The sequence below is a fragment of the Homo sapiens genome, chromosome 6, assembly GCF_000001405.40.
Source record: "Homo sapiens chromosome 6, GRCh38.p14 Primary Assembly".
Lineage (NCBI taxonomy): Eukaryota > Metazoa > Chordata > Mammalia > Primates > Hominidae > Homo > Homo sapiens.
Genome location: NC_000006.12, coordinates 107177740 through 107202137, shown reverse-complemented (window position 1 = coordinate 107202137; position 24398 = coordinate 107177740). Strand labels below are relative to the sequence as shown.

Here is a 24398-nt window from a genome sequence, read left to right as displayed (position 1 = left end):
GAGTCCAGGAGGTCAAGGCTACAGTGAACCATGATTGTGCCACTGCACTCTAGCCTGGGCAACAGAGGGAGACCCTGTCAGACAAACAAATAAGTAATTAACTATTATAGTAAATGTCAGTGTTCTTAGGGACAAATGCTGAAGTATCTAGGGGTGAGCATCCTTATGTCTAAAACTTACTCTCAAATAATAAATGGTCATGGAGAGAAAGGGGGAAAACAGAAGTGGTAAGGTGTTAGCAACTGTTGAATCTAAGTGGAGGGAAAATGAGTGTTCATTGTATTCTTTCAACTAAAAAGTTTGCGGGGGAAGGTAGTTTTCCTTGAAGATTTAAAAAGGAAATCTTTAAAAATGGCAGTTATTCTAAAATATAGCCTGTAACATTTGGGAAGAATAACCTGATAAGTAGAGATGATTAGTCTCTAGCAATTTCTGGACTCCCTGCTGTGGAATATTAGTTTTCTGCTTTTAGAAAAAGGTGTCCCCATATCCAGCTTTCAACTCCAGATAACAGTAGTTGGAAATTGGAAACAGTTCATTTATGTCATCCAATCCTTCTTTGTTACCTGACTTATAAAAAAACGTTTGTTTCTTAAAGTAAAAGACCACATTGTACATCCATTACTTACCAACAGGGAATCTGTCTGCCTTTAGTCTACAGAGACTGGTATATAAACCTTTGGAATTAATTCCTTTGTGCATCCTCTCAATCAGAGTGCTGGCTTTTTTTTTTTTTTTTTTTTTTTTGCTTTTGTATGGAATATTGTTTTACAGTGTTCACTATAGCTGTCCGAGGAGGCCTCCAGTGTCATGAGCACAGGCACACTATCTTGTCTATTTTCACATTTTTAAAAGATAAAACAAGGTTCAAACCACACATTCTCTGTGAACTGCTAAAGATTTGGAAAAAATTACTTTCTTTTCTCTTGACCTGGATTGACAAGAAGCACACCTACAGGAGGCAAAAAGATGAGTGAATCCCTTTTAAAGACCCTAGTAATGAAGCCCTCAGGGAATTGCTGTGTATGGTAGAATTTACAGCGGCTTCTGGGGACGAACAGTGTGGCAGGAAGAGGTTCAGGACTGCTGGCTGTTGAAATATAGATTCCATTTATTTTATATCAGCCTATTTTGGGCCCCTGTGAGAAAGTTATTTTAATAATATCTTGCTCTGGCTGGCCGCAGTGACTCATGCCTGTAATCCCAACGCTTTGGGAGGCTGAGGTGGGCGGATCACCTGAGGACAGGAGTTTGAGACTACCTGGCTAACACGACAAAACCCCGTTATACTAAAAATACAAAAATTATCCAGGCATGGTGGTGGGCACCTATAATCCCAGCTACTAGGGAGGCTGAGGTAGGAGAATCGCCTGAACCTGAGAGGTGGAGGTTGCAGTGAGCCGAAATCACGCTATTCCACTCCAGCCTGGGGAACAGAGTGAGACTCCATCTCAATAATAATAATAATAATATCTTGCTCTGCTAGAAATACACATGATAAGTGGCAGGTGTCAGAACAAAAAGGGAAAAGTTGCAGTCCATTCTCCTCGAGACTTATGGAGTTTACATAGTTGTTCTCTTTCAGCCTTTGAAGTAAACCCTGATGCACATAGAAGCACAAATTAAAAAAGACATTAGACATAGGCCAGACCAATGATCCTCAAACAAATCAGAATCACAGGGGTAGGCTATGGAGAATCTGCATTTTTCGCAAGCTACCCAGGTGATTCCAATACATCCAGCCCAGCATTTGTGAGAGCCCAGCATCTGGGAACTTCTGGTCTGGTCTGGTGTTCTACAGATCAAGAAATGAAGGCCTATACAAAAATGTAAAAATTATTCAAGTTATTAACCAATGAAGGACTAGAAACCATATTTTCTGGCTCCCAACATATCCATCTTCCCAGGTCACAATGCCTCTTGAAGTGTTCACAATTAAGATCTTAGGCCTTTTGCTGTAATCAGTAGACAAGGCCTTTAATCCCTGAAATTTTGAGGTGTATGTCTTGAAATCTCTCTGGAGATCTGTTAACTTCCATTCTAAGGTCTTTTCCTTTAGACGCACTGCTTTTAAGGTTGAAGCACTTAATTACACTAATTCTTCTCTGTCCTAGCCTTTTGTTGGTTAATTTTCATGAAATCATTGAATTTGTTTTCTACAGATGGAAGCTTAGGTTCCCTTCTTTAGTGTATTTATAAATAGAAGGTGGGTGAGAAAATGAAAATATGCCATTGTTCTATATGGGTAAAAATTACATGTAAGGCATCAGCTAAGGGCTCTACATTACCTGCATACTAGCTCACAAACAAAAACATCCAGCTTTCCTAGAACTAGGAGTGAGTAAAATTCGTTTTTCCTGTACATTCCCTGAATAAGTAGTACATAACCAATACATATAAAGAAAAAGCTTCATCCATTTATTCATTCACTCAGACACTGATCTCAACTTGGGATACAGTTGTGAGCAAGAGAAAATTTCCTTGCTTTCATGGAGCTTGGGAGATTGTAGACGAAGCATATCTAAAACAGTATTGTGTAGGTAGGTGCAGTGGCCCATGCCTGTAATCCCAGCAGTTTGGGAGGCCAAGGCAGGAGGATCAGTTGCATCCAGGAGTTCGAGACCAGCCTGAGCAACATAGTGAGACCCCATCTCTATAAAAAATTAAAAATTAACCAGGCATGGTGGTACATACCTGTAGCCCCAGCTACTCAGGAGGCTGAGGCAGGAGGATCACTTGAACCTGAGAGGTTGAGGCTGCCGTGAACTGTGATTACAGCACTGCACTCAGCCTGGGTGACAGACAGAGTAAGACCCTGTTTAATCAACCAATCAAACAGTCAGTCAATCACAATACTTTGTAACCTCCTAGAATATAAATTCCAAGAGGTCACACATTTTGATCTGTTCTGTTCATGCCTGTGTCTGTAGTGCCTAAGCAGTGTCTGACTCATAGTAGGTGCTGAATGAGTATTTGTTAAATGAATGAGCAACCAAGAGGTGTAATAGAAACTATCGCTTCTCCCAAATTAACTATCTTACAAAAAGAATAAGGATAGTATTTAATGAGAAATATCATTTATGTAGGAATCTAAATCATTTATTTGTATCTAACTTGACATATTTTTATTTATTTATTTTTTGAGACAGGGTCTCATTCTGTCACCCAGGCTGGAATGCAGTGGTGCAATCACAGCTCACTGCAGCCTTGACCTCCTGGACTTAATCAATTTGCCCACCTCAGCCTCCTAAGTAGCTGGGATTACAGGTGCGCGCCACCATGCCTGGCTGATTTTTGCTGTGTTGTTGTTGTTGTTGTTGTTGTTGTTGTTGTTGTTATTGTTTGTAGAGACAGGTTTCTCACCATGTTGCCCAAGCTGATCTCAAACTCTTGTGCTCATGTGATCTGCCCGCCTTGGTCTCCCAAAGTGTTGGAATTACCGGCATGAGCCACCGTGCCTGGTCAGTATATTTTTAAAAGCTCTAAAGCTTTTTGTGAGAAAACACCATATCAGAATGTCTGTTGTCAGGTATGTTTGGCATATTTAGATATTATACCCATGTATCAGCTGGAAACATATATGTATTATATACCTATAGAAGTTTAAATATTTACCAGAGTTTTTTCCTAAAATAAATGATACTTTTATGTACAAGCTAAAGTGATCAAGAGTAAAATGATTTCATAGAGCTAGAACATTTATTGTGACAAAATGAAAAGGATATTCGGGTGAGCCACATATCAATAGTTGCATGTTCAGATTATAATGGCTGTGGTAACGGTGTTGTCATTTTATGTAGGCTTCTACTCTCTCAGCTTTCAAAACATTATAGAGCTGATGTTGAGCAGATCTAGATTATATCCATGGAATTTCTCTGCCGTCATCCCCAACAATGTGTCCCTACTGGGTGACAGGGTAGTGGCCAAGCTAAGAAGACAAAGTAAAGTGAGAGAGTTTGAGGTTTGCAAATAAGTTGTGATTAAGCACAGGTAATTCAAAGTACTAGAATTTTCCAAGATGATTAGTCTATAAACAAAGTATGGGATGGGAAAAATGGTTTTACAGGAATTTGTGATAGGGCTATTCTAGATGTCCTTATCAGTAAAGAATATTATATTCACTCTTCTTACCTGTTGAATTTTTTTGAGACAGAGTGGGAGGTGGCTCAATGCAGCCAAAAGGAAAATTCCACCCCTAAGTCATTGTCAGTCATAGTTTCTCCATGGTTTGCCTTTCAGTCTTCAAGTACAGAAGTTCAACTTTCTAACTTTCAACAAATGCTACTTTCAACACTCTTAAGCACCGCATGATAAGCACTGAACGATGAGAATATTGAGAGAGCATGAAGAGGAGATGGTTAGAAGAGAGGCAACATTGACAGTGAGGAAATGACAGATGTGCTCAGTGTTGAGCTGTTTGACCTCAGGAACAATTCTCTAGGACTCCCAGTTTGTGCTTCTGTGAGTGGAAGAAAACACACTCAAAAGTGTTTGATACAGTCTCTCAAAAATAGTCAACACAGGACACTTCTATGACCCAACATGCAAGGATTTCTCCCCATCAACAAGCAAGCAATCACTTCAGCAAGCTGACACCAGCTGAGTGTCTCTAACTTACTTCTATTTTGACACTTCTTTTTTTTTTTTTTTTTTTTTTGAGATGGGGGTCTCACTTTGTTGCCTAGGCTGGAGTGAAGTGATATTCACAGGCACAATCATAGCTCACTGCAGCCTCAAACTCCTGACCGTAAGCTATCTTCTCACTTCAACCTCCCAAGTAGCTGGGACAACAGGCACGTACCATATTTTGACACGATCTACCTGGAGATAGTGTCAGATCCTATAGGTTGAGGGCTCAAGACTGCACCCCCCCCTTACCCCACCCCCACCTTCAGATGCCAGTCACAAGCTCCAGGTTACCTGTGCTTCTGATTGACCTGCTATAAAGTGGGGCTCCCACGACCACTTCCTTGGGTTCAGTTAATTTGCTAGAGCAGCTCCCAGAACTCAGGGAAACACTTACTTTCTTTTTCACAGCTATGTGAATTTTGGAACAGAAACACTTATACTTACCAATTTATTTAAAGAATATTACAAAGAACACAGATGAGAAGATGCATAAGTTAAGACAAGTGGGAAGGGGCGTGGAGTTTTCCATTTCCTCTCCAGTGTACCACCATATAGAAACCTCCATGTGTTCAGCTCCCCAGAAGTTCTCCAAATTCTGTGTTTTTATGGAACAAATTTTTGGGTTTTTATGGAAGCTTCATTACATAGGTATGATTGATTAAGCCATTGGCCATTGGTGATCAAGTTAACCTTCAGCCCCTCTCCCCTCCCCAGAAATTTGGGGGTGGGCTGAAAGCCCTAACCTTCTAATCCTGTCTTGGTCTTTGCCATGACCAGTCCCCATCCTGAAGTCAGGAGTTGCCAGCCATCAGTCAGCTCGTTAACATACAAAAAGGCATCACTTGGTGAGTTTCTGAAGATTTTAGGAGTTGTATGCCAGAAAACTGGACTATGACCAAATATATATTTCAGAATATCCTAGTGTCATTTGAAAAGTGCTGCACTTGAGCAATTCATAGTAGTCAGCAAAAGACAAGGAAAAGGATGGAGAGTGGAAAAAGTGGAAAACTTGTGACCACAGGATCAGCCTCAATGTCAGATGTCCATTAACCTAAATGAATTCAAGAGTCAGCTGCGAGTTTGAGAACTGAAAGACTAAGCATGTTGGGAAAGTGCTGCTGATGAAATTTTGGTCACAGGCCATCTGTGGATTATTCGTAAGATCAAGGCCAGTCCATATTTGGACAATATCAAAGTGAGTAGCTAGGTCATAAGTGAGCAATACAGATGTGTTCAGGGCTTCCCTACCACTTCTGCAGAAGTTACTATGGTGGGATTTTCAGTGTAGACAAAACTATTTTGGGAAAAGATGCCCATAAACAGACAAACGAATAAATATAAAATATCTAAGCATAGAGACTAACAGCTTGGTTTTGAAATTTCTTTAAGAACTCACTCATATTCCTGTTGGTACAATGCATCTCAGTACTAAGTTCAAACTCTTCTTAGTTCTCTGAAAATCCTAGAACACTAAAAAACTTCAAAAAGCAGACTGAAGACCTTACTCTTTTTATAGTAGATTGGTTGCAGAGGCCTTTTGTTTCACTGAAAATATTTAATCACAATTTTAGAGTGGTTTGTGGTGGTGCCAACAACTGTGCATGAACAGTGTTTTATAAGTTTCTTACTATGAAAATAAGAAAAACAAGGGCTGGGCGCAGTGGCTCACGCCTGTAATCCCAACACTTTGGGAGGCTGAGGTGGGTGGATCACATGAGGTCAGGAGTTCAAGACCAGCCTGGCCAACATGGCGATACCTTGTCTCTACTAAAAATACAAAAATTAGCCGGGCGTGGTGGTGGGTGCCTGTAATCCCAGCTACTCAGGAGGCTGAGACAGGAGAATCCCTTGAACCTTGGAGGGGGAGTTTGCAGTGAGCCGAGATACACCACTGCACTCCAGCCTGGACGACAGAGCAAGACTGCATCTCAAAAAAAAAAAAAAAAATGGAGTCATCTTCAGAAAAATTTTTAAAAGATTCTAAAGCAGCAAGAAGGGTCAGGACCATTTTTTTTTTTTTTTTTTTTGAGACAGGATCTCACTCTGTCACCCAGGTTGGAGTGTAGTGGTGCAACTATGGCTCACTACAGCCTCAACCTCCCAGGCTCAGGCAGTCCTCTCACCTCAGCCTCCCAAGTAGCTAGGACTACAGGTGCATACCACCACACCCAGCTAATTTTTTTTATTTTTTGTAGAGATGGAGTCTCACTATGTTGCCACAACTGGTCTTGAACTCACGGGCTCAAACAATCCTCTTGCCTTGGCCTCCCAAGGTGCTGGGATTACACGCATGAGCCACTGTGCCCAGCTTTAGGACCAATATTATAAACTTTTTTTTTCTCTCACGGAAGTAATCTGCCTATGTTAATTACCTGTATAATGTAAATTTGGACTCAGGAACAAAATGGTCTTGAGACCTAACCCGTTTGTAAGTTGGAGGACTCTTGTTCTATGCAGAAGTGGCAGGAGAAATTTTATTCTGAAGTCTGCAAAACACAAACTGACCTGCCAGCAAAAACTAACCCTGGTTGTTATGTTAAGATTTTTTTTTTTTTGAGATGGAGTCTTGCTCTGTCACTCAGGCTGGAGTGCAGTGGCATGATCTCAGCCCACTGCAGTCTCCGCCTCCTGGGTTCAAGCGATTTTCTTGTCTCCTCAGCCTTCTGAGTAGCTGGGATTACAGGCGCCTGCCACCACGCCTGGCTAATTTTTGTATTTTTAATAGAGACGGGGTTTCACCATTTTGGCCAGGCTGTCTCGAACTCCTGACCTCAGGTGATCCGCCTGCCTTGGCCTCCCAAAGTGCTGGGATTACAGGCGTGAGCCACCGCACCCAGCTGAATTTACGGCATTACTAAGAGTGAAACAGCCTGACATTTTGTGCCTCCTGAATTGATGGAGTATGTAATATTTCCACATAAAGTATTTTTGCCAAAAATGTTTAACCTAAATCTTAGCAGCCTTCTCCAGACCCAACTTTCAGTTTACAAGCAAAACAGAAACAAGTTAAATGACGCAATGAAGAAAGAAGAAAAAGGGATTTTATAAAACAGCTATCCTTGTCTTCTCAAAAAGTCAATGGTTTTTATGAAAAGAAGCATGGCTTTTATTTTCATTTTGTTAAAAATTGGGAGAGACTAGTCTAGGCAAAAAAGAAGAAATGATAATAATAAATAAAAGGCAACAAAAGAGGCACAAAAACCAGAATGCAATGTGTGAATCTTGATTAATTCTGGTTTTGGGGAAAAAAGCTATAAAAGATATTCTTGGAACAGTTGAAGAAGTTTGAATATAGGTTTGTGTTAGATGATATGGCATTATTGTGAGTTCATTAATTTTGATTGTGGTCATGGGGTGATGTATGAGATGCTGTATATGTATAAGATACATGCTGAAGCATGTGACATTAAGAGTCGTGACATCCACTCCTGCCAGATCTAGGTAGTGTCTATGCGTGCTCAGTGATCTGTTCGTTTAACTTTTCTATATGCTTGCAATTTACATGGATTATAATATATAGTTCAATATGTATATTAAATAGAGAGAGGGAAAGGGGGACAGAGAAGCTGAGTTCTATTCTTTGAGAAGCAAAAATTATAGAAGCACTAAACTTTTAGAGAAGTAACAAATTAATTTTCCCCTCTTCTTTTGTAGGCTCAAGAAAAAGGAAGATTGGACTATGCTAAGGTAGGCAGATTTTATACATACTGTACTATTTTACACATTTCAATTTGGTGTTTGGCTTTCGTTTATATTTGAAAGGTCAAAAGAGAATGATCACATTGAGAGCTGAAGGACATTTCCTGTTAAGTAACAGGCCAATAGCATGTGGAATAAGGTTCATTCAACAAGAAGTCTATTTATTATTGAGTACCTGTTTCATTCCAGACATTGTATTAGGTATTGAGAATACAACGGTCAACTAGATGAAGTCTTTCCTTTCAGAATATTTACAATTCTAGTGGGGAAAATCAATAACAAAATAAAGGACTAAATAAATAATGTCAAGTGTCAGCAAATGTGATGAGGAAAAATAAACAGTAAAATCACTAGCTATTGTTGAAAGATGCTATGGGGTGTGGATGGAAGACAACCTTTAGGGCCATCAGATAATAAGTAGAAAGCACCTTACAGGATAGACTTGAGCTCTCAAAGGCAGGAGTTCTCACATCACCTGTGGAACTTTTGAAAACACATGTGCCTAGGTACCACTGCATCAGACCCTCTTTCACCAAGATCAGAATCCCCTGATGGAGAGAGCAGTACAGGGGCAGGCTGGAGTGGTTTGAAAATGTCTCCACAGATAATTCTGACACACAGCCCTGGTTAAAAACTGCTGCGGGAGGTCAGATTTCAGTGCATCAGTACAGGCCTAGGAACACACTTGGGTCACGTTCTGTTTTCCCCTCAGGGACAAATGGAACATTTAGCAGGTGTATGGCATGTGTACAGCTGCTTGGCTAAAAGAACATGTCAACCATCTGATTTATGCAACAATCAGGAATATCCAGGATGTGAGCACACCTGCACTCCAAAGACAGGGAGGGAGAAACATGACCCAGAAGGGCTCTGCTTGCCGTGGGACAACCAAAACCCTCAAGGGCCTCTCCAGAGCTGACCTGGAACCTCGCACTCTCCTGGCAGCCTAGTGGGGCACACCCATGGCCCCCACCTTTACTCTTCTTTCCTTGCTGAAAATAAAGTCTCTCTTTTTTTTTTTTAACAATTACAAAATAGATTTACTTTGAACCACTGGTTCTTATACCCAGGAACATATGTCAGAATTACCTATGGAGGTTTTAAAAAATCCGTAAGTCCGGGTCTCCCGCTTGGAGAAGGTTGCAAAGCAGGTCAGGACCTGAGTGTTTCTAAAAAGTTCTTCAGGTAGCTCTGATGTTTCCTTCTGGTTGAATCACTGAATTTAGGTTGACAGGGATACTTTGGTTTTTGGGGTTTGGGGGCCATTTGCGGTAGGGTGTGGGAAGCTTTTCTTACAGATTTACTAGGAGCAGCAAATAACTTGGTCTCTGGCTTTTTTGGAGTCTGTCTCAGGTCTTTTCTCCCCAGTTAAGGATTTTTTTTCCTTCACTGCCTCTTCTTTGATTTTTGACTTTTTCCCTGGGCCTTTCCCTGGGGTCTCAGACTCTGCAGCTTTTGGGGTCTCAGAGGCTGTCAAGTCCTTTCTCTCCCTCCCATGAGGAGTGTTGGGACCGTCTCTCCTTTTATCTGCCTCCTTCAAGAAAAACTAGATAATAGGAGCACCTGTAAACCAAGGGCTTCCATATCTGCCACTCGGTCTTAGATGTGTACTTGAGCCTCATCATATACCCAAACGCAGGCTGTGGACTTACCCTCTTGGGTCTCCCACAGGCATGAGAGCCCAGTGCATCTTAAACTAAACTAAACATCTTTTCTGACATCTCTGGCCTTTCTGTTGCTGTTGTTTAATGACTTTATTTTTTACAGCAGTTTTAGGTTGACAGCAAAAGTGAGTGAAAAGTAGAGTTCCTATAGCCCCTGACCCCAAACACATGCAGCCTCCCTCACCATCAGCATCCCACACCAGAGAAGCACATTGTTACAATTGATGAATCTAAGGCCAGGTGCAGTGGCTCATACCTCTAATCCCAGCATTTTGAGAGGCTGAGGTGGGAGGACCACTTGAGCCCAGAAGTTCAAGACCAGCCTGGATAATATGGTGAAACCCTGTCTGTACAAAACAGTGTAAAAATTAGCTGGGTGTGGTGATGAGCACTTGTAGTTGCAGCTACCTGGGAGGCTGAGATGGGAGGATTGCTTAAGCCTGGGAGCAGAGGTTTCAGTGAGCTGAGATCATGCTGCTGCACTCCAGCCCGGGTGACAGAGTAAGACCCTGTCTCAAAGAAAAAAAAATTGATGAGTCTACATTGGTGCGTCGTTATCACCCAAAGTCCATATATTGCATTAGGAAGGTTGCAGTCCCTGGTGCTGGACCTCTGAGCCTTTTTTCTTATCCTCTCTCCTGTGATTAGCACTGTCATCCCACCAGTCAACCATGTGAGAAACTTACCATGTGAGAAACCACTTCTACTCCCCACCTCTTGTTCCATGACCAAGTCATACCAGTTTTATAGCCTACATTTTCTTGACTCCAACTCCTCCTCTTGGTCTCTCTTCCATTCCTCGTGCTCATAGTCTCTTCATCTGAACACTGAAAAACCTACTGCTCAGTCTCCACTGCCTCTCTTTTGTCCCCACAGATCTTTACCAGCCAGAGTGGCTGTCTAAACCACCAATCTGACCGTTTCTCTCTCCAGCTTAAAACCCTTCATTGCTCTAGGCCGGGCACGGTGGCTCACACCTGTAATCCCAGCACTTTGGGAGGTGGAGGCGGGCGGATCACGAAGTCAGGAGATCGAGACCATCCTGGCTAACACGGTGAAACCCCGTCTCGACTAAAAATACAAAAAATTAGCTGGGCATGGTGGCGGGCGCCTGTAGTCCCAGCTACTTGGGAGGCTGAGGCAGGAGAATGGTGTGAACCCAGGAGGCGGAGCTTGCAGTGAGCCGAGATCACGCCACTGCACTCCAGCCTGGGCGACAGAGCAAGACTCCGTCTCAAAAAAAAACCCCTTCATTGCTCTGTGTTGTCTATCCGGCACATTCGGAGCTTGCTGGGTTGGCATATACGGGGCTGTGTGATCTCTCCCCTAAAGAGACCCTCCAGCTTCATCTCCCATGGTCCTGCAGCAGCACCAAGTTTCATAAAGCATACTGCTTCTGTTCTCTGCGCCTTCACTCATGCTGTCCCCTCTGCTTAGAATGTCCTGCCGTCTTTATCTGGCTCCCTCTGCTCATCCTATGAAGCTTAATTTGGGATTGTCTCCTATAGCAAATCCTCTGTGGTTTCCCAGGCTGGATTAGGTGCTTTCCTCAGTTCCTCAATACACTGTGCATTTCTCAGTCACTGCTCTTACTCTGTTATATTATAATGATCCATTTATGAGACTGATCCTAGACTGTGAGCTCTTGGAGGGCAGAGACAGTTTCTTTTTTCTCTTAGTATATCTGGTACCCAACACAGTACTTGACACTTAGTAAGTGACGAGTGAATGAGCAAGTAAGCGAGTGAACAGAGGCCATGAGTAAGAAAATAGAAAACACACGCAGTAAGTTGGGGAGAAGCAACCTGCTGCAGGAGAAAATCGGGGGATAGGGCATTGGTTCTCAAGGCAGAGAGGAAAGGAAAGCGTTTGACACAGTTTGAGGATATCAGCAGGGTTAAGAAGATTGCTTAGGAAGGTTGTAGTAAACTAGTTTGAAGATAAAGACTGGGATTTTTACTGTGGTAGTGACAGAAAGCTAACATATGAATAAAAAGATAAGGGAAAAGAGTGACAATTGAACATTGATGCTTATTTTGGTTATTTTTGTTTTTTTTTTTTAGAGATAGGGTCTCACTCTGTCACTCAGGCTGGAGTGCAGTGTCACAATCATAGCTTACTGCAGCCTCCCACTCCTGGGCTCAAATGATCCTCTTGCCTCAGACTCCCAGGTAACTAGGACTACAGATATGTGTCACCACACCCGGCTATTTTTTTTTATTTGTTTCTTTCTTTCTTTATTTATTTAATTTTAAGGAACGAGGTCTCGCTGTTACCCAGACTGGTGATGCTTTTTTTATGACTCAAAGAATGCCTCTGGGGTTTCTTATCACAGAAGCACTTGACAATGGAAGAGATTTCCACTGGAAAATGGCAAAGAGAAAAATATGGTGCACAAATAAGAGCACCCCTGGACCAAGCAATGGCTCTGCCACCAACTCAATGCAAAATCTGGTAACAGTCACTGTGTTAGTCTTTTCTTGCCGTGCAATAAAAAATACCTGGCTGGGGCCGGGCACAGTGGCTCACACCTGTAATCGCAGCACTTTGGGAGGCCATGGGGGTGGACCACCTGAGGTTAGGAGTTTGAGACCAGCCTGATCAACATGGTGAAACCCCGTCCCTACTAAAAACACAAAAATTAGCCGGGTGTGGTAGCACGTGCCTGTAATCCTAGCTACTCGGGAGGCTGAGGCAGGAGAATTGCTTGAACCCCAGTGGCACAGGTTGCAGTGAGCCAAGGTCATGTCTTTGCATTCCAGCCTGGACAACAGAGCAAGACTCTGTCTAAAAAAATAAAAAGAAAAAAAATATATGTCTGGGTATAGTGGCCAACACTTTGGGAAGCCAAGGCAGGAGCACTTGAGCTCAGGAGTTCGAGACCAGCCTGGGTAATATGGCAAAATCCTGTCTCTAAAAAAAATACAAAAATTAGCCAGATATGTTGGTGCACACTCATACTCCCAGCTACTCAGGAGGCTGAGGTGGGAGGATTGCTTGAGCCTGAGAGGCAGAGGTTGCAGTCAGCTGAGATTGTGTCACTGCACTCCGTGCTAAAAATATTAAAAAATAGCTAGGTATGGTGGTGCACACCTATAGTCCTGGCTACTCAGGAGCCTGAGGTAGAGGATCACCTGACCCCAGGAAGTTGAGGCTGCAGTGAGTTGTGATCACGCCACTGTACACCAGCCTGGGCAACGGGAGTGAGAGTGAGACCCTGTCTCAAAAAAAATGAAAAAGAAAAGAGGTTTAATTGGCTTATGGTTCTGCAGGTATACGAGAAGCATAGTGCTGACATCTACTTCTGGTTAGGCTTCTGGTGAGCTTAGAATCATGGCACATGGCAAAGGGTATTGGGCATGTCACCTAGCAAGAGAGGGGAGGTGCCACACACTTTTAAACAACCAGATCATGCATGAGCTCACTGAGTGAGAACTCACTCGTCACCAAGGGCATGGCACTAAGCCATTCATGAGGGATCAGACCCCCTGACCCAAACACCTCCCGCTAGGCCCACCTCCAACAATGGAGGCCACTTTTCAACATGAGATTTGGAGGGGATAAAACATCCAAACCAAATTGTTCACTTAATCTCTTTGGTCTTTTCTTAGTTTCCTCAGTGCAGAACGAGCAGTTTAGAGTAGTGCTGTTCTATTCCCTAGGCCCATTCTAAATCTGGGAGGAGACATTCTTATCCTGAGGTCCAGACACACTCCTTCACCCAACCGACATTTATTTATTTTTAAATTTAAATTTTTTTTTTTTTTGAGACAGGGTCTCACTCTGTCACCCAAATTGGAGTGCAGTGGCACAACCTTAGCTCACTGAAACTTCCGCTTCCTGGGGTCAAGTGATTCTCCAGCCTCAGCCTCCCAAGTAGCTGGAACTACAAGTGCAAGCCACCAATGCGCAGCTAATTTTTGTATTTTTTGTAGAGATGGGGTTTTACCACATTGCTCAGGCTGGTCTCGAACTCCTGAACTCAAAGCGATCTGCCCGCCTCAGCCTCCCAGAGTGCTGGGATTCCAGGCATGAGCTACCTCACCCAGCCTTTATTTGATGTTAATATATTGGAGGCACTATGCTAGTGCCAAGACAACCATCATGAACACGACTGCCAGGGTTTGCCATCACAAGCTCCCTTGACTCCAGCTTCCCTATCTAAAGTAGCCACTCCACCTTTGCTCTGTTTTTTTCTCCTTAACATTTATCATAACATAAAATTATCAGTTTGTATTTAAGTGCATGTTTATTTCTTCTTCCACTAGCATGTAAAAGATCTAACGGCAGGTGCTTCGGTGGCCTTGCTCATGGTTGCATCACCCTCCCTAGCACAGGCTTACATAGGAGTGCTTGACAAACATGTGTGCATGAGTATTACATTCGTGTTATGTTAGGAGACGTACAGGAGGTTAGGAGAGGTCTGGGATCGAGGACCGTAGACTCAAATTAGTCATTTTAAGAGGTTTTTTTTTTTTTTTGAGATGGAGTTTCACTCTTGTTGCCCAGGCTGGAGTGCAATGGCACAATCTCGGCTCACTGCAACCTCTGCCTCCTGGGTTCAAGCAATCTCCTACCTCAGCCTCCTGAGTAGCTGGGATTATAGGCATGCGCCACCACACCCAGCTAATTTTTGTATTTTTAGTAGAGATGGGGTTTCTCCATGTTGGTCAGGCTGGTCTCAAACTCCCGACCTCAGGTGATCTGCCCACCTCGGCCTCCCAAAGTGTTGGAATTACAGGCGTGAGCCACCACACCGGGCCTTAAGAGTATATTGACTGTGTAATACATTCCATCCCAAAGTTGCCTAAGGTTGTCTTTTCAAGTGCCCAGTAATAGTATTTCTCATGCCAGTAAATAGAAACCCACCCCTCCTTGAATATGTAGTGCTATTCTGATATTTAAAGACATAACTCGATTTAGGTAGTTAATCCAGACCTGTCAGCCTTAAACAGACTTAAATCCAAGTAACATAGAGAAGAAAGATTATATCTTTCTCTACTAAGTCTTGGGGAGATGTCTGCAGTATTATGCCTTATGCAGTATGTTATGGACTCTTGGCAATGCATCTCATGACCTAAAGTCTACTCCTCCCTGCTTTGTGTGCTCTGCTTTTTGTGGTCATGATGTTCAGGCTAATATAGGCATCACACTTAGTGGCTTAGGGTTCCCCTGGTAGGAGTTATTTGTAAAATAGTATTTGAAAAACTCAGCAGCCATTTCAGGAGACTATTGTGAAATTCATTTATTGCTGGAAATTTCTTTATTTCCAAGTGATAGGTATTTGTAAACTCAAAAGCCAAATTTTGTCTGAAAAGTCAGATATCAAGAAAGTGTGCAGCCATAAAAAGGCATGAGATCATGTCCTTTGCAGGGATACGGATGAAGCTAGAAGCCATCATTCTCAGCAAACTAACACAGGAACAGAAAACCAAACACCGCATGTTCTCACTCATAAGTGGGAGTTGAACAATGAGAACACATGGACACAGGGAGGGGAACAACACACACCAGGGCCTGTTGGGGGGTAGGGGGGCGCGAAAGGAGGGAACTTAGAGAGCGGGTCAATAGGTGCACAAACCACCATGGCACATGTATACCTGTGTAACAAACCTGCACGTTCTGCACATGTATCCCAGAACTTAAAATAATAAAGAGTAAAAAAAAAACTATATAATTATTTCAGTCATGCACTCTGTGGCTTTATGGCCCATCACTCAATTTTGTCGGTTTCAGATGGTGAGGTAGTAGGGGAGAGTGTGGAAGAGGTGATCATTTTAAAATCATTCTCAACTGGACCTTCAACATGTGTGTCTCATTCAGCAAAATAGTGGTCTGTACACAGACACTCAGCTAGAAATTGAATTACTTTTTAATTGAGTTCCTGTTGTGATAGAGCCTGGATATGAATGCTTTACACTGCTGTAGTACCTTTCATCCTAAGATATCAAAGCACTTGACAACTATTAATTCATTACATCTCTCCCTGTCTCTTAAAGTAGTTAACACAGCACTGGAAGTCACTCTCCTCATTGCTGAAACTCACTCACCTGGGCAGTGGGCAAAGATGGAAGCTGTTTAACTGTGTAAGGCAATCCTACCTTAGTCGCTTTTAAGATGGAAAAACAAGGAATATCTTACCTAGTTAAAACTGCAGAAGTTGTATTAGATGGAATGTAATTACCAGAAGTGAAGTGTGACCAGGAAGCTAACACTTTTGCTCCAGTGCACAATGCTGTGGGGATCTTAATTCCAGTGACTGTCCTGCAGCCCTAGGTGCACATCTCAGACTGTTCCAGCTCTTTAGGCTTCTGGCCTCAAGGTTAGGCAGAGCCGCTTCAGCTCAGTGCTAGAGGGAAGAGTGCCACCTATTGAATTGTAGGAATTCTTGGAGATGTGTTGGGACTGGTGGAGAAGGCTCTCGGACCACATTCACGTTTGGTTTGCCATGGTAACTAATATATATATATCTAAAAGAAAACGAATATGTTGACTACTCTTGCTTAGAAAAACATCGACAAACGTCTGTGTATTTTCCCCAGCTGGAGCTGAGCGTATGCCTGTAGTTTAGCCTACTGCTACTTGAAATAAGCATGCTGCTAAAAAGACTGAGGCAGATGGTATTTTTACCACTTCAGGCAAAACATGGCACCTATGGTTCGACTTTCTACAATTTTAATTTTTTAACATTTTCAAAATGGCTTGTTTAAATATCTCCGTCACAGAGACACAGACTTTTTCCCAGTTTCTTTTTAATAATTGCTTCAGATATATAGATATGAATAACCATCAGTTGGTCAAAACCAGACTGTTCAGCATTGTAGAGCCTGCCTTCTGTTCATTCTTTCACCAGTGCCTAGGACTGTGCCGTAAATGAGCTTTGACATTCGCGCTCATTTTGATACAAAGACACTAAGTAGTTTATAATAGCTTGCATTATATTTATCTCTAGTCTTTCTTCTTCTCTTCTTCTTCTCCTTCTCCTTCTCCTTCTTCTTCTTCTTTTTTTTTTTTTTTTTTTTAGATATAAGGTCTCACTATGTTGTCCAGTCTAGAGTGCAGTGGCTACAGCCTCGAACTCCTGGGCTCAAGAGATCCTCCCATCTCCACCTCCCAAGTAGCTGCGACTACAGGTGCACTGTCTCTGCACTGGTCTTTCTCTAGGCTTTATTGTGCATTTCATATCATTTGTCTCATGACTCAACACACAAAAGGGAGGTTTTTGCTGGTTTTTTAAATGTCCTCTTATGAGGATCATTCTAAGCACAGAGAAATAATTGCTCATGCTTAAGCACTTGGTAAAAAAAAAAAAAGATCTTCCAGATATTAATTCATTAGCCATCCAGTTCTCTGTCAAATGTAAGAGATTTTTTATAAGGATAGGGTTTTTGACTCATCCTCCCTGCTAGAATTTGCTCAGGGTTCCAGAGTGTCACGTTCTGGCTCTATCCTCCAATGCCTCTCAGACATCAGCATTTAGCAGCTGCTGCTCTCCTCTGTCCTCTTCACCCCCAGAAGTCCTTGCACATTTGTTTTATTATAAAATGCATTTGCATAGAGCACACATTAAAATTCTCTTCCCACCAGCAAACAGTAATGTCCACAGACATTTGCATTTGCATGATCACATATCATTACTTCCCTTTAAAAAGAAAAAAGTCTTTCTTCTCATGTCATGATTCTCCTTTCCAAGGTTTGCCCTTTTAGTCATTTCTTCTTATTACACATAGATGCTTCAGCCATTTTTCTGCATATTGAGTCCAGAATTTTCTTTTTTGAGCCTTGAATATAGAAATTTTTTGTATATAGTATTGTTCTTTTTTTACTGACAAAGCCAGACTCCTTTATTCGTTTATTTATTTATTTTTGGTAGTCAATTTTTGCTGCTAGTTCCTTCCCATGACCCTAGCAAACTGGCTCTGAGACTTTTTCACATTGGCACATTTAGAAAACAGTTGTTGCTGTGTTTTCTCTTTCCTGTACCCCTTTCTTGGGCAGATGCTGCATCTCCTACCCTGGGACTTTACATTAGCTCTTTTTTGGTAAAATATGCCATACAACATCACTGAATGCACTAAATCTCTCATTTTCTCTAGCCCCGCAAAGATGTATTTTTTCTTTGCTTTGTTTTGTTTTGTTTTGTTTTGAGACAGAGTTTAATTCTCGTTGCCCAGGCTGGAGTGCAGTGGTGGAATCTTGGCTCACTGCAACCTCCACCTCCCAGGTTCAAGTGATTCTCTCTTTTTTTTTTGAGATGGAGTCTCACTCTGTTGCCCAGGCTGGAATCCAGTGGCGTGATCTCAGCTCACTGCAACCTCCACTTCCCGGGTTCAAGCAATTCTCCTGCCTCAGCCTCCCAAGTAGCTGCGACTACAGGTGTGCACCACTGCACCCAGCTAATTTTTGCATTTTTAGAGACGGGGTTTCACCATGTTGGCCAGGTTGGTCTCCAACTCCTGACCTCGTGATCTGCCTGCCTTGGCCTCCCAAAGTGCTGAGATTACAGGCGTGAGCCACTGCACCCAGCTCAAGTGATTCACTTGCCTCAGCCTCCAGAGTAGCTGGGATTACAGGCGCCTGCCACCACGCCTGGCTATTTTTTATATTTTTAGTAGAGATGGGGTTTCACCATTTTGGCTAGGCTGGTCTCGAACTCCTGACCTCAGGTGATCCATCCGCTTCGACCTCCCAAAGTACTGAGATTACAGGCATGAGCCACCGCACCTGGCCAAAGATGTCTTAGCATTTAGGATTTCTATTTTAGTGATAACTATGGAGATTGTGGAGCCATTGGCATTGCCCTCTCCTATCTTGTTCCATAAGGGACTTGTAATATAATTAGATAAGACGTTTATAGTAGAATTTAAAGAAAAAAAAATCCATATCAAAATACCATAATGGTATGGGTGCAACTATGTAACTTTTTTTTTTTTTTTTTAGACAGTCTTGCTTGTCACCCAGGCTGGAGTGCAGTGGCATGATTATGGCTCACTGCAGTATTGACCTCCCGGGCTCAAGTGATCCTCCCACCTCAGCTTTGCAAGTAGCAGAGACTACAGTTGCATGTCACCACACCCAGCTAATTTTTTAATTTTTTTGTAGAGAAGAGGTATCACTATATTACCTGGGCTGGTCTCAAACTCCTGGGGTCAAGTGATCCTCCTACCTTGGCCTCCCAAGGTGCTGGGATTACAGGTGTGAGCCACCATGACCAGCCCCTGTCCAAAAATTTTAAATCCCCCACTCCTCATTTCCTTAAAACCAGATTAAACCAGTTATTTTTCTCTTGGCAACTACATTTCAGACACCTGTTTTTCTTTGCAGCAATAGTGAGTAGATTCTCTTTAATCTGTTTTTCAAAACAATTAGTTTGTCAGTTTTTGCAACCACTGCTTTGATTTCATATCTCCTTCAAATTGCAATTATTAATGATGGAAAAATAATCACTGATCAGTTTCTGTTTACAGTAAATTATAGAAGCTTTTGTACCATGTGAAACATTATATCAAAAATAAATTATAGGCCGGGTGTGGTGGTTTATGCCTGTAATCCCAGCACTTTGGGAAACCAAGGTGGGCAGACCACTTGAGGTCAGGAGTTCGAGACCAGCCTGGCCAACATGGCAAAACCCCGTCTCTACTACAGATACAAAAATTAGCCTGGTGTGGTGGCGGGTACCTATAGTCCCAGCTACTCAGGAGGCTGAGGCAAGAGAATCGCCTGAACCCAGGAGGCAGAGGTTGCAGTGAGCTGAGATTGTGCCACTGCACTCCAGCCCAGGCAATAGAGTGAGACTCTGTCTCAAATAAATAAATAAATACATAAATAAAATAAATAAATTATACACACATGCAATAGTTAGTATCTTAAACCAGAGTTGTGCCTTATTATTAGCCTTGGTCTTTTGCAAAACATTTGCCCTCTCGACATTATTCATTCCTATCATCAAGCTAGTCTTTTTTCTCCTTAACTCTTTCAGTATGTTATTTTGTATTTGTCCCCAGTGACTATCATCTTGCTTTGATTATCTGTTCCTCTAATTTCTTAATGTTATTTTAAAATTAGATTCTTGTTCTCTGAGGTGTTAGCAATCCCACACACCTCAGTGGCATCAGCAGATTTAATTATCATAATCTCTATTCCTTTGTGGATCATGAATAAAATTATTAAATGATTTTAATGATAAGCATCTTTATGACATCATATAACATGCCACCCTCTCAGTTAGCCCAAATAATTTTTTTTTTTTTTTTTTTGAGACAGAGTCTTGCTCTGTCACCCAGGCTGGAGTGCAGTGGCACAATCTTGGTTCACTGCAGCCTCCACCTCCTGGGTTCAAGCGATTCTCCTGCCTCAGCCTCCTGAGTAGCTTGGATTACAGGTGTGCACCACCATGCCTGGCTAATTTTTGTATTTTTAGTAGAGATGGGGTTTCACCATGTTGGCCAGGCTGATCTCAAACTCCTGACCTCAGGTGATCCACCGGCCTCAGCCTCCCAAAGTGCTGGGATTACAGGTGTGAGCCACGGTGCCCGACCATCCATAATTTTCTTTTTTTCTTTCTTTTTTTTTTCTTATTTCTTTTTCTTTTCTTTTCTTTTCTTTTTTTTTTGAGACAGAGATTCACTCTTGTCACCAAGGCTGGAGTGCAATGGCACAATCTTAAATTACTGCAACCTCCACCTCCTGGGTTCAAGCAATTCTCCTACCTCAGCCTCCCAAGTAGCTGGGATTACAGGCGCCCACTGCCATGCCAGGCTACATTTTGTATTTTTAGTAGAGACGGGGTTTCACCATGTTGGCTAGGCTGATCTTGAACTCCTTTGGGAGGTGATTACCCGCCTCAGCCTCCCAAAATGCTGGGATTACAGGCATGAGCCACTGCGCCCGGCCCCAAGTACTACTGATACTAATTTAATATAGGCAGTTATAAATCTCTTTTATTTTTCTTCAGATTCTATATTCCTAGTTTATTGATGCTTGGTTTAAAATATTATATGTGGCTGGGTGTGGTGGCTCACACCTATAATTCCAGCACTTTGGGAGGCCAAGGTGGGTGGATTACCTGAGGTCAGGAGTTCGAGCCCAGCCTGACCAACATGGTGAAACCCCACCTCTACTAAAAATACAAAAGTTAGCTGGGCTTGGTGGTGCATGCCTGTAATCCCAGCTACTGAGGAGGCTGAGGCAGGAGAATCGCTTGAATCCGGGAGATGGAGGTTGCGGTTATTGCGCCCCTGCATTCCAGCCTGGGAGACAGAGTGAGACATCATCTCCAAATATAAATACATAAATAAATAAAAAGTAAATGAATAAAATGATATATGTAAAAGTTTACATTATTTAGCTCATAACAATATTTAGTGGGGCAGTCTCTCCCACTCTTCAATTTACCATTTTGTATTACTGACCCCTAAAAATTACATATCTACATAATATCTAATATTTATCAGGAAGCTAAGTCAGGCTTAGATCGTTGATGAAGACCAGTTCTTGACGGTAAGCATGGAATGGTGTCTTGAGTTTGCTCACCATTGCACCGTGAAAGCCTACTACAGCACCTGGTGCAGGATAGGTACCCAATAAATATTTGTTGACTGACTGTCGAATGAATGAATGAATGATGACCCAAGATACTGCGCGTTTTTGCCTAACCTCTGTTCTTCTAATTCATAAGGAATATTTAATTCCACCTTTGTTCCTCTTATATCCCCCCAAGTATATTTTTAATCAAATGATTACATCCTCAATGCCTCTCACCCCCTGGGTTGAGGCAGAGAGATTCAATTGGGGTAATCTTTTGAGTCTTATCTGGAAAGCTAACTAGAAATGCCCTTCAGGCTGGCTCTGCGGGTGGATGCTCTGCACTGTGGGATAGCTGGATTCAATTATTGCTCCCAGTTTGTGGTGTCAGAAGCCACCTGTGCACCAGGAGAGCCTGTATGTCTTTATGTCGAAGATAGAGCCCTCTGTCCCTATAGAAAAGCCTGTTTAGTCCATTAAAACTGTTTTAAAGTGGATCTGAAGGGAACACTATCTCTTTCCTTGTCATAAAATATAGTGGAGAGGCATGGGTTTCCCAAAATTATGGTTTTTGAGTGAAAAGAGAGGCACCTCTGTATAGATACTGAACGTAGTTTTAGTAAGTTAGAAGATATCGTTACCTAGATTCATATTTCCACAGTCATACACTAATCCTGCTGTCGGATTTTGTGTTGAATTAAGAATTTTTGTGATTTGAAGCTGTTTGAGCCATCAGAAAGCTGTAGTTGATTCAGTTGGTACATCTGAAGCCATTCCTCTATATTTCCTATGCAGTGTCTCCAAGCACTACTCAGCCTCCCCACTTACCACATCAGAGTATTGATCCCTGATAATGTACTTAACCATCTTTCCTGAAATAACAAGGTGGCTATGTCCCTCAGTTTTCAAACAGAATTACTTAGGTAACAGTAGAGATCATGGGACCTGCAGCATAGCTCAGTGAAGTGTGAAATGTTACTAAAGATTGTAGGTGAGTAGATTCTGTCCTTTTCCCCCGAGTCCTTGACATTCTGGCTTGATGAAAGATCTTAGCTAAGGCCGGATGCTGTGGCTCACTCCTGTAAGAAGGCCGAGGCGGGCGAATCACGAGGCCAGGAGTTTGAGACCAGCCTGACCAACATGGTGAAACCCCGTCTCTACTAAAAATACAATAATTAGCTAGGCGTAATGGCGGGCACCTATAATCCCAGCTATTCAGGAGGCAGAGGCAGGAGAATCGCTTGAACCCGGGAGGCAGAGGCAGCAGTGAGCTGAGATCACACCACTGCACTCCAGCCTGGGCAACAATGTGAAACTCCATCTAAAAAAAAAAAGAAGAAGAAGGATCTTAACTAAATCATAATAAAACCAAAGCTGTACCTCTGAAGATTGATTAGTGTGTAGCGCAATGGTGCCCCCTGTGGAAGATCTCCCTATCCTGGATCTAAGAAGATTATGCTAACCTGTATCTTTAATTGATTCCTAAGATTTGTGTGCAGCTGTCAGAAAAATGGGTAGACCTTTCTATGTGCTGTACTTTCTTTAAGATGCATGCCATTGTATGCGTGCTTTGCAGCGTACACTGTTTAAGACACACACTAAACACCTTAATCAAATGGTTCTATCGAATTCTGTGAATCCCCTCTTTTTATAGAGAAGAGCTCAAATAACCTAACAGTGTCCACACAATTATCTCACAGGGTCAAGATTCTACTCAGGTCTGCTGACTTCACAATGTGTATTCTCTTTTGTTATTTGTTTTTTTTAAGAGACAGGGTTTCACTATGTTGGCCAGGCTGGCCTCGAACTCCTGTCCTCAAGTGATCCGCCCACCTCAGCCTCCCAAAGTGCTGGGATTACAGATGTGAGCCACTTCGCCCAGCAGCAGTGTGTATTCTTTACCACCATCCTGCTTCTCAAAGTGCTTTAGACATACTACAAAAAGTTGTTGTTGTATTCAGGCTCTGATCTTGCAAGCATCCAGAAAACGGTGTGTATTAGTCTATAATCTAACATAATTCTGGTCTCAGAAATGTGATTGTCTAATAAATGACTGTGCTAGGATTTATGTTTGCTGAACCAGTGTAATAATTATTGTGACTTTAAGCTGATAAGCATGCTTCACTTTTGAAAAGAAAGTTTTATAGATAATAACCATTTAAAACAAACTCTGATCATCATTCTCTTGAAAGAGGCACAATCTAAGTTAACAAATACACCTTCCATAACACCATAGCGTAGAGACCTCCTACATTTGGAAGAGCTGTTAATCTTGCAGATATGATTACACTTACATGGCACAGAGTAAATATACATTCTTCACCTCATACATTGGCCCCCACACTGATGCAACCTACCTAGAAGACGTGGCTGAAGCCTACATTTATTTCATTAATAAATGTAGATAGAATTTCTCTGTCGTTTGAGGTGCTTTCTTGTGAAATTATAAATGTGTTTTAAACTCATCTTATATCAGGATGTATTTTAGGATGCTAGGAATCTAGGATCACATGGATGATGATAGTGGTAGTTTGGGGCAAGTGGTCCCTAGGTATCAGCATCCAAATACTAAAGCACATGAAAATTGGAACATGAGAAGGATATAAGAAATGTATAAGTAAGATAGGGATTCAAGTAAAATAACAGAAACCGAAACTCACTCTTAACATAGTTTATATATTCCTCAAATACCCCCAGGACTATTTGATTCCTACATGATGTGAATGCTCTCATCCCACAGTATTCTTTTTAATTAAATAACCAGCTTAGTATTTGTCATGAGATTACAGAGCTTACTATTTATTGATTCACTCCTAAAAAAGCTACAGGCAAGAGTGGCTCATTGCTGCAGTCTACAGCCTATGACATGTTTTGCTTGTTGAA

At 42.1% G+C, this 24398-nt stretch overlaps 1 protein-coding gene across 14 annotated transcripts in view; it reads left to right on the top strand.

Annotated features, from left to right (window-relative positions):
* PDSS2 (decaprenyl diphosphate synthase subunit 2) overlaps nt 1-24398 on the top strand; it is a 307003-nt gene that overhangs the window by 257427 nt on the left and 25178 nt on the right. For 7 of the 14 annotated variants that reach the window (XM_047419098.1, XM_047419101.1, XM_047419099.1 and 4 more), the window contains one exon: nt 8284-8316. In XM_047419098.1, the coding sequence (XP_047275054.1) occupies nt 8284-8316 (33 nt within the window). Of the gene's footprint in view, nt 1-4239; nt 5825-8283; nt 8317-12248; nt 12447-24398 lie in introns of those variants that run through there. The other 7 variants (XM_011535960.4, XM_047419100.1, XM_011535958.4 and 4 more) reach the window with 2 other exon arrangements.